We start from the raw sequence: 14,738 nt of genomic DNA on the forward strand, positions 1-14,738 counted from the left end.
AAATGGTGTTCCATAATTCCAGTGTTGTGAAGCTAAATGCATGGAATTATTTTTCTTGTTGAAATGAACTAATAAATTAGTCAAAGTTTAATTTACTGTCCTGAAGGAGCTCACAGCCTGGTAGCAGAAACCAAAGTCACACAAGTGAAGCAATTAAATAATATTTCAAAACAGTATATTATCAAATGCTAAATTGCGTGGAATAAACTCAATCATGCTTTATGCATTCAGAAAAATGGCAGATAAATCTAAGCCAGGGAAAGGATTATGGAGGAAATAAGACTGGAGCCACCTCGAAGGAAGGATCTGCAAAGAGAATCCAGCCCTGCCATGGATCCACCACCTGACTTTGGGCCTGGTATTGAATGTCTCTGGGCCTCACTCTGCCCATTTGTCAACAAAACGTCATGACCAACATGGTCTAGAGTGGTTTCCAAGCCACATCTGCCTTTCTCTAGCTCAGTTCAGATGGGATGAGGGTGAGGTAAAAGAAGGGCATCAGGGTCAGTCAGAACATCAGCAACAACATCGAGGGGCAGAAATGGGCATGGGCTCTGTTGTCCAGTTATGAGAGGATATGGCCCTGCTTTGGGCCCTTGACATCTCTTGCCCTGTCTGTTGTCACTATATTCCGACCAGGGCATGAGGTGATGCCAGCCCTAGTGCACTGGTCATAGGAATGCAAGAGACAGGCCAGATGGGGGGATATGGATGGTTCTGGAAGAAATGGCACATTGTGGTGATGAAGTGGGTGTGTTGAACTTGGGGAGCATTTTTGGCCTTTTGAATACCCGACTGACCTCCAGGTTGGAAAATCTAGTGGTCCTGGAATGGGGTCCTGAGCCCAAGATTCTGATGCTGACTTTGGACCACACCCTGATACTCCCCAGGTCCTCAGTATCAGTGATAGGGATGCTTCCTTGGCCTCCTAGCCCCTCTAGATGCCACCTTTGCCTCAACTTAGGCATCATTCATAACATGTTTGATTGAATGAATGATTGGCACTTGGGATACAGGGATAAAGGGGTAAGAAGGTCATCCAAGGTACAGATGATAGAATGAGAAGGGGCATAAGTCACCATGAACAAGCTACGTGTGGATAATGGAGACCGTGCGAGCATTGTTGGGATACTGAGGTGTGGGCTGGACCAGATAACAGAGGGGTTTTATTTTAAAGCTATATTAAGGTATTATTTACCTGCAATAAATTCACTCATTTTAAGTGTATTAAAGTTTTAATCAATTCAGTAATTTTTTTGTAAACTTACAGAATTTGTAACCCATCACCACAATCTCATTTTAGAACATTTTTATCACTCCTAAAAAGATTCTTTATGCCAGTTTGTAGTCGCTCCCCATTTCCCTCTATGGCCCCAGGCAAATACTAACATACCTCTCTGTCTGTAGATTTGCCTCTTCTGAACATTTCATGTGTATAGAATCACAAAATATGTGGTCTTTTGAGACACACAGCTTTCCTCACTTAGCATAATGTTTTAGAGATTCATCATGTTGCCGTACGTACTAGTACTTCATTCTTTTTTATTTTGGAATAGTATTCCATTGTATGGGCACATCAGATTTTGTTTATGCACTCACCACTTGACAACAAAGGGTCTTAGGTGACATATTAAAGAGTCCAGCTGAGTCCAGTCCAAGAAAGGAGGACAACAGTCAGGTTAGCATGAGGCAAGTATGAAGCTTACTCCTCATATAAAGATGTATGAGAAATGTCCTATACCTTATTTTCTTTTAGTCTAATTATTTCAGATTCTTCTGAGTCCCCTATACCACTGGTTGGTGAGAAGTTCAATCTCAATTAATGGTTTCTCTTTCCACTAGGACTATGCTTCCAGAGGTCTTACTCAGCAAATTCTGAGAAGGCTACTGTATTGTCCAAAGGCCAGTGGTCCACCTGTAGGTTTTCTGGATATGAATAAAGCTCTGGAGGTGGTGGTGGCTGCAGTTGATAACTTTGTGTGTACCTAATTTCACGTAGATAAAAGTCAGAAATTATCCTTGAAGTGGAATTGCTGGGTCAAAGGGTGTATGTAGTCATAATTTTGATAAATAAAACCAAAATTTCCATAGAAGTTGTACAAATTTCCTTTTCTTCCATTTGTGTGTCAGAATTCTTATCTCCTATGTCCTGTCCAACACAGTGTGCTATCACACTTTTGTTCTTTGACATCCCCCAAAAAGTATCATAATGTGGCTAATTAACAACTCACACTTTATGAAGAGTGAGATTCAGCATCTTTTCATATATTTAAGAGTTATATCTATGTCTTTTTTAGTGAACAGTTTGTTGATACCCTTTGCCCAATTTTCTATCTTGTTATTGACTTATGGATTCTCTTTATATATTAGGGGATATTAACACTTTATCTGTGGTAAGTAACAAATACTTTTTTTCTATCAGGTTTTCTTTTTTCCTCCCTTTTAAATTTGCTCATGGCTATTTCTGTCATGCCAATTTTTAAAATTGTATAGAGATGAATTTATCAATATGTTTATTTATGGCTTCTGAGTTTCATATCACAATTAGTATACAAAAATTTTCTCCATGGTTTCTTTTAGTATCTTTGTAGTTTCATTTTTAATGTTTAAATCTTGGGTTCACCAGAAATTTATTCTGGAGTAAGGTATAAGTATGGAACAAAAGTTATGTTTTCTTTTTTTTCCAGATGGGCACCTAGTTATCACTACAATTTTTAAAATGATTTACCTTCTTCATATTGATTTCAGTTTTGGCCCACACTTGAAGTATTGGGAGAAGCTACTGAATTGATTTCTAGAAGATTTCACCAGTTTATACTTCCATCAATAGGCTTGGGCAGTGCTCTTTTTCCCACCTTCTTACCAAGACTTGACATTTTATCTTTTTAATTTTCTGCAAATCTGATAAGCAAATCATGGTGTTTTGCTGTTGTTTTAATGGGAGGAGATAATTACAGGAAGGAATACAAGAAGCAATATGTCAAATGCCTAGAAGTGGAGGCTAAGAAGCAGCCATTGAATGGAAGATCTTTAGGAAACTGACTTTCGGGCAGGCAGTGAGAACACATTGCCAGAACTAGAACCAGCACAGGCTTTGGGTAAAAGAAATTTGGCCCTGAATAGGAAATTGGGCATCTACAGTGTAGTGCATGCAAGACTGGTAAAATTCCCCCTTTTTTAAGAAAAGAGAGAGGGAAGAGGTGAGTAATCATCATTCCTAAGGATCTGGGAAGCCCAAAGCCTTGTTGGCGAGGCAGGACTGATACCTGAAAGAGTGTTCAGGGGACACATGGCCCCTTGAGTCTGTGGCTCAGTGAAGGTCTAGAGATTCTCCCCTAAAGCATCGTTCCAGTTTTTGCTGGTCTGTTCCAACCTACCATCTCTTGCCTGGGCACCCACAATGAACTCCAGTTGTCCTGCCCATACACTCAGGCTGCTCTCAAAACCTGTCTCTGTAGTGCGTCAGAGAGAGCTTTTAAAAGCTCGGCTCTGATCGCCTGTGTTTTTTTCTCCCTAACTCATCAGCGACTTCTAGTTACACTCAGGATGAAGTTCAAAATTCTCAACTGGATTCATCTTCCTCTCAGTCCTGTTCCTGCCACCCCCAGCTTCTTATGGCTGTCTGTCACACAGCCTTCATTCCTCAATGGCACCAGGCCACTTTTCCTATCATGAGGCCTTTGTACCTGCCTTTGTTTGGCCCAGAGGCTCTGCTCCTATTCTGCTCCCAGAAGGTGCATACTTCTCCTGGCTTACTTCTATCTACCTGTCCCCTCTCAGCTTGGAGGGTGATATTGTTTGGATGTTTGTCCCCTCCCAATCTCATATTAAAGCATGCTCTCCAATGTTGGAGGTGGCACCTAGCAGGAGGTGTTTGGGTCATGGCAGGGGATCCCTCATGAATGGCTTGATGGTCTCCTTATGGTAATGAGTGAGTCTCACTCTATTAGTTCACACAGGAGCTGGTGGTTTAAAAGAACCTGGCATCTCTCTTGCTCCCTCTCTCACCATGTGACATGCCTGCTCCTCCACCTTCCTCCATGATTGGAAACTTCCTGAGGCCTCACCAGAAGTAGATTGTGGTGCCATGCTTCTTGTACAGGCTGCAGAACTATAAACCAGATAAACCTCTTTTCTTTATAAATTACCCAGCCTCAGGTATTCCTTTATAGCAACACAAAATGGACTCATACAGAGGGTCTTTCCTGACAATCTTCATATATCCGTTGCACCCCCGTGCTTGGCTCCCTGTAATTTTCCCTCACAGCAGTTAACACAAATGTAATTATTTAGTTATTTTAGTAACCATTTTCTAATTTCTGTTTCTCTCACTAGATTATAAGCTTCATATTGTTATATCCCCAGTGGCTAATGGCGCCTGGCACAAACCTAACATTCAGTAGACATTTTTTTTTCATTGATGAATGAATGAGGTATAAATATAAAGCAATGAGACTGATTCCAAATATTGTAAATGAAGTATATGTTTGTCTCTCTCTGTTGGGAATGCCATTCTACCCTCATCTCGATTAACCAACATCTCCTCTTTCTTCGACCCCCCCAGTTCTAATTACCACTTGCTGTGGAAAGTATATGTGCCTCCTGAAGCCCACTCTGATCACTTATTTCTTCAACCCCTACAGAGCTTTCACTGACAGAAGAATGAAAGAGGGAAAGAAATTAATGGGAAGCTCTATGATGGCCTTTTCCCAACAACAGGGAGTTATTTTCCTTTCTCTCAATTTGCTTCTACTCTTTCCCTTTGAATATGCAGCTGAATTTCCTCTCATTTGCTTTGATCACTCCCTTAGGAGCTGTCATGGAATCAATTAGATCTGTAGAATTTTACAACTCAGGGTCACCCATTGTGATTTCTCATTTTACAGATGAGAAAACTGAGGCCCAGAGAGGTTAATGTTTGAAACAATTACTTCTGCTGGGTCTTATAATACCAATCAGTGTCATTTTCTAAGATAAATTTTCTCAATATCTCAGCTCCCATAGGAGAGTAGAAATCCTCATGCTGCTTATTTTATTTTATTTTTTTGAGACAGAGTCTTGCTCTGTCACCCAGGCTGGAGTACAGTGGTGCGAGCATGGCTTACTGCAGCCCCTCCTGGGCTCAAGCAATCCGCCCACTTCAGCCTCCTGAATAGCTGGTTCTACAGGCACAAGCCACCAATCTTGGTTAATTTATTATTTTTATTTTTGTAGAGATGGGGTCTCTCTGTGTCACCCATTCTGGTCTTGAGTCCTGGGCTCAAGCCATCCTCCCACCTCACCCTTCCAAAGTGCTAGAATTATAGGCATAAGCCATTGCACCTGGCCTCATTTTGCTTATTTAAATACCTCCTGGTGGTGACTGTCTCAGTGCTAAGGTGAAGCCCACATCAGAGCTCCTTTAGTCTTGGGTGTGTCAAGAACTCTGGCTGTGACCAGACCCCCACTCTAAATGGGGTCACATGCTTCACCTGTACATTGACAGAGGGGCCCCATGTGTGTACTGAGACCCAACTGGAATAATGGATCATGAGACTGTTGTGTTTCAACAATAGCAGAACAGTAAAAAAAAAAAAAAATTTCCTTTCCTCAAGTCATGTAGGGTCAACTGAGAAAATGCTGTTTTATAACAGCCATGGAAAGGGAGGGAGGTCTAAAAATTTGATCTGAAACATTGTCAGTGACTTCTCCATGGCTGAAAAAAAAAATAGGCAAGCAGAACGTAACTTTAATAAACACATTTGATAGAACAAAACACAGTGTTCAAGAAGGCAGAAAAAGTGGTTCTTTTACATCTAGAGAATCAATAAGGAATTAGGCAAAGTCCAGGTGAGGCTCGACAGTGTGAATTTATACTCCATGCAGGCCACAGAGGTGAGACATCTCTTCCGTGTTGGCCACATGGTGGGGCCTGGGCACAGGGATGTCCATGTGCTGGGCACAAGGCATGCTGTGAAGGAGCTGTGTGGACTGTGGATGCGCCACTCCAGCGATGTGCTGCAGCCCCCTCAGGGCTCACTGACTCCTTGGGGAGGTAGGTGCCCCAGGGCCAGTGTGCACAGGTTCTTACCTGTTGCGTGGAGGATGGACTAATATGCTATGATATGCTATCTAATTAAGTGAGGGGATTTTCCAGAGCTGGAGTAACTCAGGCAAAGAAGAACAAAAAGCCATCCTAGGTAGAAAGCACAGCATAAGAACAGGCCTGGAACTGGGAGACAGAGTTGTGAGTTTGGGGATGTTAGTCTTTGGCATTGCAGAAAGTAGAGTGGAGCAGGGAGAGATGCTGGTGGGTCATGAATGGTGTGGTTGGAGGTCAAGTGCTCCAACTTGAAAGGTGGAGCGCTGGGTGATATTTGGCCTGGTGCTGAGACTATCCAGGATAGTGAATCATGATGGCCTGTGTGTCCCGGAACTGCTGCAAGGATACTGGCAGGAGCTGATCTGTTGGTGAGGGACTGGCAGGACTTCAAGTTGGTGAGGGAACTGGCACTCTAGGAGTCCTGGGAGTCTGGGGTCCAGGAGGACCCTGGATTAACTGCAGTTTAGATGCCTTGGTGGCAGAGGCCCAGACAGAAGGAGTGACCATGAGTGACGTCACTTTACAGACCTGGGCATGCAGGGCCAGCTCTCAATGTGCCCATTTCCCCACCTCTCCACACTATGCCTGTTTTTTGGTTTCCTTCACTCAGGTTTAGAGGACAGCCTTGCTTCTATCCACTTGCCTCCACAGGGGGCTTTACTCCTTGCAAGGAGCAATTGCAGTATATTTTCCATGCACACATAATTGGCTTTTAGCTCTGTTAATGAAGAATTCTAGTCTATATATTTAAAGTCCACCACTGTAAATAATTAGCATAATATTCAAAGATACTGGTATGATTTGGTTACCTTGATCACCACTCCTAAATAGTCAAGGATCTTAATTCATTTTCACTTTAGGAAGTTTAATTTCTTTTCTCTATTTTTTTTAATTCTAGGCAAACAGAATATAAGTTTAAATTTATTCCTGGAAATATCCTCCGTTCTTGAGACCAGGATCTGGAGAGCTCCCAGCTGTGGGCAGCTTCTTCCTTAACTCCTTTTCTCCAAGCACAAGGAAGAAAGAATGACCCAGCAACTCTTCTTTGACCCCTGCCCTAGAGAGCTCAGTTAAGGGAACCATGCCTATAAAGACCCCTCCTGACTCCCCTCCAACCCTCATTGCCTGTTATTGAAATAATCTTCTAGAAGTTCTTAGGTGATTTTCTTTGACCATTCAAAGTATTTCTTACTAGCTTCTCTCATAATCTCTTTTAGCCATATAAGCATGGGTGAGTTGCATGATGTCTTTTCATCTGTAAATTGGGGATAATAATACCTGGTTCTGAAAGTTGCTGGGAATAGTGAAAGACATCACTTAATACATGTGTTGTTCTTCTCTTTTATTCCAATCTACAGGACTGCTATAAATGGGAGCTCACTTTTCTAATGTGAATCATGATTGTCTTTCCCTTAAGAAAGTTTCATTATTCACTAAAGTAACACCCTCCAGCATTTTCCTCCATCATAGCCTTGCTTGAAATTTGCACACAATAGAGCTTCATTTGCTTCATTAAGGGTTCTTCTTAGCAGCCTCCACTTTTACCAGTTTTATAGTCTAGGTCTTTGCATTAGTCCACTCTTGCATTGCTATAAAGAAACAACTGAGCTGAGTAATTTATAAAGAAAAGAGGTTTAACTTGTTCATAGTTCTGCAGGCTGAACATGAAGCATAGTGCCAGCATCTACTTCTGCTGAGGGCCTCAGGAAGCTTCCACTCATGGCAGGCCAGGGGAGCCAGCATGTCACATGGTGAGAGATGGAGCAAGAGAGAGAGAAGGGGGAGCTCCCAGATTCTTTTAAACAGTCAAATCTCACTCATCACCAAAGGGATGGTGCTAAACCGTTCATGAAGGATCTGCCCCCATAATCAAATCACCTCCCACCAGGCCCCACCTCCAACATTGGGAATCACATTTCAACATGAGATTCGGAAAGGAAAAACATCCAAACCATATCAGTCTTTCAAAGAGATTGATGTTATTGAAAAAAAGTTTATGAGAATCTAAGTTGGTTGAGAAACCCTGAAAAGCTTTAAATTCATGTGCTTTTCAGAGACATAAAGGAATTTCACCACAATAAAGAAATTAGGTTCAAAGATGGGGATTTCCAAGGTGTGGATGTCAAGTAATTGGACCCCCAATCCACAGATTGGCTTTTAGAGCAGGTACTGTGGAAGTGAGGAAGAAAGTCCCTGCCATCACATGGGCTGAAAGCTGCATGTTGTCCCCATGGATGTAATAAGCTAGTCACAGAATGAGCATTATGGGTTAGGCGAGGGACAGCTTTCTTGAATGAAGTGTGTTATATTTTGGGATGGGCTGCAAAAAAATCTGAAGTTTTCTTATAAGATCTTTAAAATCAAGTTGCGCTTAGATGTGTTCATTTCTCAAGTCAATCTGCTGGACTGGTGAGCTCTTAAGGCCCCTTAGCCCCAGGATTCTCCTCTGCTATGCCTATTTTTGTATTCTCACTCTCTATTTTGTGTTTTTGCATGTGTGTGCCTGTGGCCTGCTATGTACAGTGGGAAGAAGTCAGTGGCTACGATGAAAACCTGAACACCATCCGCACCTACCAGGTGTGCAATGTCTTCGAGCCCAACCAGAACAATTGGCTGCTCACCACCTTCATCAACCGGCGGGGGGCCCATCGCATCTACACAGAGATGCGCTTCACTGTGAGAGACTGCAGCAGCCTCCCTAATGTCCCAGGATCCTGCAAGGAGACCTTCAACTTGTATTACTATGAGACTGACTCTGTCATTGCCACCAAGAAGTCAGCCTTCTGGTCTGAGGCCCCCTACCTCAAAGTAGACACCATTGCTGCAGATGAGAGCTTCTCCCAGGTGGACTTTGGGGGAAGGCTGATGAAGGTAAACACAGAAGTCAGGAGCTTTGGGCCTCTTACTCGGAATGGTTTTTACCTCGCTTTTCAGGATTATGGAGCCTGTATGTCTCTTCTTTCTGTCCGTGTCTTCTTCAAAAAGTGTCCCAGCATTGTGCAAAATTTTGCAGTGTTTCCAGAGACTATGACAGGGGCAGAGAGCACATCTCTGGTGATTGCTCGGGGCACATGCATCCCCAACGCAGAGGAAGTGGACGTGCCCATCAAACTCTACTGCAACGGGGATGGGGAATGGATGGTGCCTATTGGGCGATGCACCTGCAAGCCTGGCTATGAGCCTGAGAACAGCGTGGCATGCAAGGGTAAGCTTTGGAGCCTCTGCTTCCTGCCCATCTATGGCAGGGCCAGATCTGCAAGGTTTCCCCACCAATAATTCTGGGTCATACAGGAACAGAAAATAGTCTAATGGCTTATTATAAAGCTCTGAGGACTCCCATTCCTAGTGCTAGGCCTGATGATTTTCCAATCATGTCCAACCAGGTTGTCCATATTTATTATTCATGGTGAGAGAAAGAGATGGGGAGAGTTTCAAACAGTGGAAAATAACTTAATAACCAGTCCATAATATTTAGTGTTGAAGTGTTGAATTTATCTCTCTCTCTTCTCTCTCTCTCTCTCTCTCACACACACACACACACACTCACACACACACACACCCCTATATCCTGCATCCAGCCCTAAGCTCTGGGGCTGGAGACTTTGGAATTTGGGTTGCCATGGACAATTCACTGAAGGGTAATTGAGAAGGGACTGAATTTGGAAAATATTTTAGTTCATTTCAGTCCAGCTCCCACAGCACTCAACTTGGTACTGAACCCGTGTAGCTCATTAACTCAAAGCCCTCTGGCTTGGCTGTCTTTCTCTAGGGGCTCATTGCCAGGCCCTGGAAGGAGATGAAACTATTGGAATGGGAGTGGGACTGTATCATGTGTTGTATTAACTTTTGCTTCTAAATGACACAGAGTAGTGCAAACTTTGCAGTTTGAAAATGTCAGGATACTGTGTGCTCATATTAGCCATCACTAGCACTAGCCCTAGAAAGCCCATATTCAACATGTGGCAATAAATGTGCTGAACTGGCTGCAGGCTCAGTCTGCTCTGGGAGTGAATAGAAGGATCTGGAGGCCCCTCAGCTTATGCATTGTCTAAGTGCATGGAAGCTGAACGTGGGGGAATCCAGGGTTGGGGAAGAGAAGACTGCTTTCCCTTATTAAATTTTGCTTGGAGCCTTCAAAGGTCCTGATTCTTTTACAAGGAAGCCTTCCTATATGGACCTCAGAAATGACCACCTTAACCTTAATGTACCCCTAGGGTTACCCTTAGTCCTTTGGGTCTTGGGGGCTGTATCAGCAACTTATTCTCCATTGTGAGCCTCCTGCCAGCTTCCCTCTCTGATGTCACCCCCACCCTGCCTGAGCACCAGACCAGCCTATGCCAGTTTACTTCCCCACTTACCTTGCTCCCCAGACACCTGCAGCTGAAGTGCCAAGCAGGCTTGTTAGTGCCATCAGCTCTGCAATCCTTTGGACTCAGCTAATTGCCTGGGCCAGAGCACTCACTCAGCCTTCCTGAGGCCTGCTGAGAACAGGGAGCTGCGCCTTTGTGTCTTTATTGGATTTCTTGGTCCTGGTACCCATGACGGATTGTGTGGAAACAAAGGAGAGAGAGTGCCAGATCTTAGATCCACTGATGCATCAACGTCAACAGTTTTAAAACCATCCCAGCCTGGTCCCACAGTCCTCCTCTTTGTCCCATTGGTTGGGATGGGTCACTATCTTTGCCATTTGGCAGGGTCTAAGTGGGGACCAAGGCACCAGGCTGAGTTCTTAAAGGCACAGGTGCAGCAGCTTCCCGGCATGCTTGCAGCAGCGCATGGTGGGTGATTTCTTTGGTTTTCAGAGGGCTGCCACACCACACTTGCTGGCTGGGGCACTCTCATTTTTCTCATTATATCCTGAGCAGAATGGCAGGAACCAGAGCAAGCATTGATTGGTTCTGATTTAATTGGGTCTCTGGGAACAGGCTTTCATTTCTTTGGGCTAATTGGAACTTTTCTTTTTTAGAGGGTTCTGCTGTCCGTGTAGCTTGTCAGTTACCTCCTGTGGCTGTCCTGAGAGGGCCTGTGAGGACAAATATGTAAATCCAAATTGTTTCTTTCCATTTCTCCTTCCCAGTCTCGATCCCCTCCTGAGTTTTGTTGGACATTTCTAATCTTGAGCTATTGTGAACATGGCTTGACTTTACAAACTACTTATTGCAAACTCATTGGAGGGTAAAGGAAATGGGGAACCCATGGCACCATCACTTTGCCTCTTCAGAGGCATGGGAAGCCACATTTTGGTAATATTTCTGAGCGTGGAGAGTGGCATCTTGGGTCTTGTGGCCCAGCATCCTGGCTGAACTCTGTGCCCTGAAAGGGAAGAGAAGGGCCCCTTGCCCTTGTCTCAAGAACTTTCAGCTGAATCCCCTGAAATCTTTGCCCTTAACTCTGCAGGTAACTGGACTCTGATGGCTGGCAAGGGGACCTTCGAGCAAAAGTGGTGATCTTGGGAAGACTCTGCACTCTTTGGTGGGGGGTGGGAAGTGCATTTGGAAGTACTTGTTACTGGTCTCCATGGTGTGTCTTCAGGGATAGGCTTTCCACTCATTTTTGGTGCTCACGGAGTGCTGCCAGATGGACATGGTGGCCATTCACAATGGTTTTGGTGTAGCCCACTTAGCACAATCATCATGAGGGCAGAAGCAGGGAGAATGGTGGATAACAGAGAATTGCAGGTGAGACACAGTGAGCCTTCAACAACGAACTCTCTCCCAACACAGCCCTGAGAATTGATGTCCTCTGAGCCTGGCTGGGTCAAATGCTGATGGCTCTATGATTCATAAAGTTGTGCTGATTTGATATATCTTTTCTGCATATGTGAAACTGGGACTTTGTAGGGTGGCAGAAAGAATAATCTCTCCGCTTCTGGTTCCATGCTATTTTTCCTGCATGGAAACAGAACAGACTTTCATTATGGCCAGGGAACTGTATTTTCTTGGCTTTCACTTTGCTTCTGTGAAACCGTCTCCTGTCAAAGTCGTGGTGACCAGTCGCTTGGCTGTGCAGAGGCACCTGGAGACCAATTAGACAGCACAGCCAGCAAAGAGTGGTCCTGGCCTAGAGCTGTTTCTGTTGTGAAGAGCGTGGGTGGTGAGAAGAGAACAGGTGAGAGGGGAGTAGAGGAAGCTATGGGGAGAACTTGCGCATTAGGATGTGTGGCAAGCGGCTCATGCATTTTCTAGAGGGCTCCTTGGCCTAAGGCCTGTTCCTGACATCCTTTCTTTTTTTTTTTTTTTTTTTTTTTTTTTTTTTTAATTTTTTTTTTTTTAATTATACTCTAAGTTTTAGGGTACATGTGCACATTGTGCAGGTTAGTTACATATGTATACATGTGCCATGCTGGTGCGCTGCACCCACTAACGTGTCATCTAGCATTAGGTATATCTCCCAATGCTATCCCTCCCCCCTCCCCCAACCCCACCACAGTCCCCAGAGTGTGATATTCCCCTTCCTGTGTCCATGTGATCTCATTGTTCAATTCCCACCTATGAGTGAGAATATGCGGTGTTTGGTTTTTTGTTCTTGCGATAGTTTACTGAGAATGATGGTTTCCAATTTCATCCATGTCCCTACAAAGGACATGAACTCATCATTTTTTATGGCTGCATAGTATTCCATGGTGTATATGTGCCACATTTTCTTAATCCAGTCTATCATTGTTGGACATTTGGTGGGACTGTAAACTAGTTCAACCATTGTGGAAGTCAGTGTGGCGATTCCTCAGGGATCTAGAACTAGAAATACCATTTGACCCAGCCATCCCATTACTGGGTATATACCCAAAGGACTATAAATCATGCTGCTATAAAGACACATGCACACGTATGTTTATTGCGGCACTATTCACAATAGCAAAGACTTGGGACATCCTTTCTTTACACACAGGCTGGTCCCATCAGGCAGAGTCACATTGGCCTGCTGACCTCATCTCACTAGTGACTCTGACCTCATCATGCATTTGTCTTTATAAAATTGTTAATTACTAGGAAAATGCCCCATCTACCCCAATTTCAAGTTATGCTCATAGTGTAGAGGATTAATGAGAAATCATAGCTTTGTCTTCCCTTCTCCCCTCTTCCCTGCTGAGGTTGGTGGCTAAGTCTATTCTCTGTGTAGGTCCCATGCAGCCTGGCTCTTCCTGTGCCAGGGAGGCCGAGTTGGCTCTCAGCAGACTCTCTCTCTCTCTCTACTGTGTAGCCTAAAATATTGCTTTAGCTGAAGTTGGACTGCAGGGAGGAAGGGGAGGAGGCTGGGGCTGTTAGAAGGAACCTGGCAGGGGCAGGCTCCTTATCTATGTGCTAGAAGCTCGAGGGCTGCAGTATCCCATAAGGGTGACCATGGGGGTGTCTCAGAAATAGGCAGAGAAGATATGACTGTCATATCTTCTGTGACAACCCCTGAGTGGCCAGATCCTAGCTGGAGCACTATGCATATGTGGATCTGTTCTTCCCCTGAGTGCTGCCTGAGGGCTTGGCTTTCCCTCCCAGGACATAGTCCTTGGAGTTTCCAGAAGAAGCTGCTTCATTAGGCTGCCTCTTTAGCTACACTGGGGACTCAGAAAATGACAATGCTATGCATAATTCTCCCTGCCATCCTCTCTTGCCTCTGCCCCTGCCCCAGGATGACCTTAGCTTGCTATTACAGAGGGCACGTGCCAACTTATGGTGCCTAGGCCTTCATTGTCTGGGGCTGTCATGCACAGGAGGTGCAGGTGGATGAAAGAGGAAGGGGGTATGCTTGGGTGCAAGAGACCTAACCTAAAGATAGGGGCTGGTTTTAGTCTTGGCTCTGCTGCAAACTTGCTACGTGGTTTTAGGTAAGTCCCTTTTCATTGACAGTCATATCTTCTCTGCCTACTTCTCAAAGTGTGTGAAAATGGATATGAGAATATTTTCTAAGCCATGCCATGCTACATATTGCTAGGTGTCATTGTCCTTAAGCTCTGAATCACCCTTATTAAGAAAATAAGATTCTGGAATGAAGATGGCATGGGACTCCCTCATCCAGAGACACAGGTCAGCAGGAATCCTGAATTCCCAGTCATCACCTTCCTGCATCTGCCCAGGCCCAGCTCCATGACCACCAAGCAGTGACAAGTGAAAACAGCAGAGAGGAATAAGCCACTGTTCCTCAACTGATCAAAGGGCAAGTTAACACATGTTTGAATGTTATGGCTCACATGGCCTGCCTTAAGCCAGGTGGTCTAGGCAGGTGGTCTTTGTGAAATGAAGGACCAAGTGGAGAGAGAAGACTCTCCAAGCCCAAGAGAGCCATGGTCTTCAGAACCAGCAATTTTTGACCCCAGGGAAGGCATGAGAGCCCTCAGAAAGGTTTTACAAAGTGACATCCCCAGTTGCCTCCTTCTGAGATGGTGATAAGTCTCGTATATGGCCCAAACATGGGGATTTTAAAAAATCCAAGAACCCCAGCTCTAAGCAGCAGACCAGGACCATGTATGTGACTGGTGTCCAGAAGAAAGGGACCCCAGGGTAGGTCACTGAAGATATTATAGGGTTACTGGGATTTGTAGACAGGATGAACCTGGGTGCCTGAGGGGATGAAGAAGGAGTCTGGGAGAGGGGACTGCAGGAGCAGGCTGGCAACTGGGTAGACCAAGAACAAAGCCTACAGGCCACCAGGAGGAAGGTATCCG

At 44.6% G+C, this 14,738-nt stretch overlaps 1 protein-coding gene across 1 annotated transcript in view, besides 1 other annotated feature; it reads left to right on the forward strand.

The window, feature by feature from the left end:
* EPHB1 (EPH receptor B1) overlaps positions 1-14,738 on the forward strand; it is a 465,208-nt gene that overhangs the window by 147,506 nt on the left and 302,964 nt on the right. Inside the window, exon 3 of the mRNA NM_004441.5 lies at positions 8,606-9,287. Coding sequence (NP_004432.1) covers positions 8,606-9,287 — 682 coding nt within the window. The remainder of the gene's footprint in view (positions 1-8,605; positions 9,288-14,738) is intronic.
* Positions 13,966-14,215: an enhancer, noted in NCBI's record as "active region_20576". NCBI's record gives its function as "activates an Ori minimal core promoter by ATAC-STARR-seq in GM12878 lymphoblastoid cells {active_cell/tissue: GM12878}" and the evidence as "EXISTENCE:reporter gene assay evidence [ECO:0000049][PMID:35858748]".

The sequence above is a fragment of the Homo sapiens genome, chromosome 3 (genome assembly GCF_000001405.40).
Source record: "Homo sapiens chromosome 3, GRCh38.p14 Primary Assembly".
NCBI lineage: Eukaryota > Metazoa > Chordata > Mammalia > Primates > Hominidae > Homo > Homo sapiens.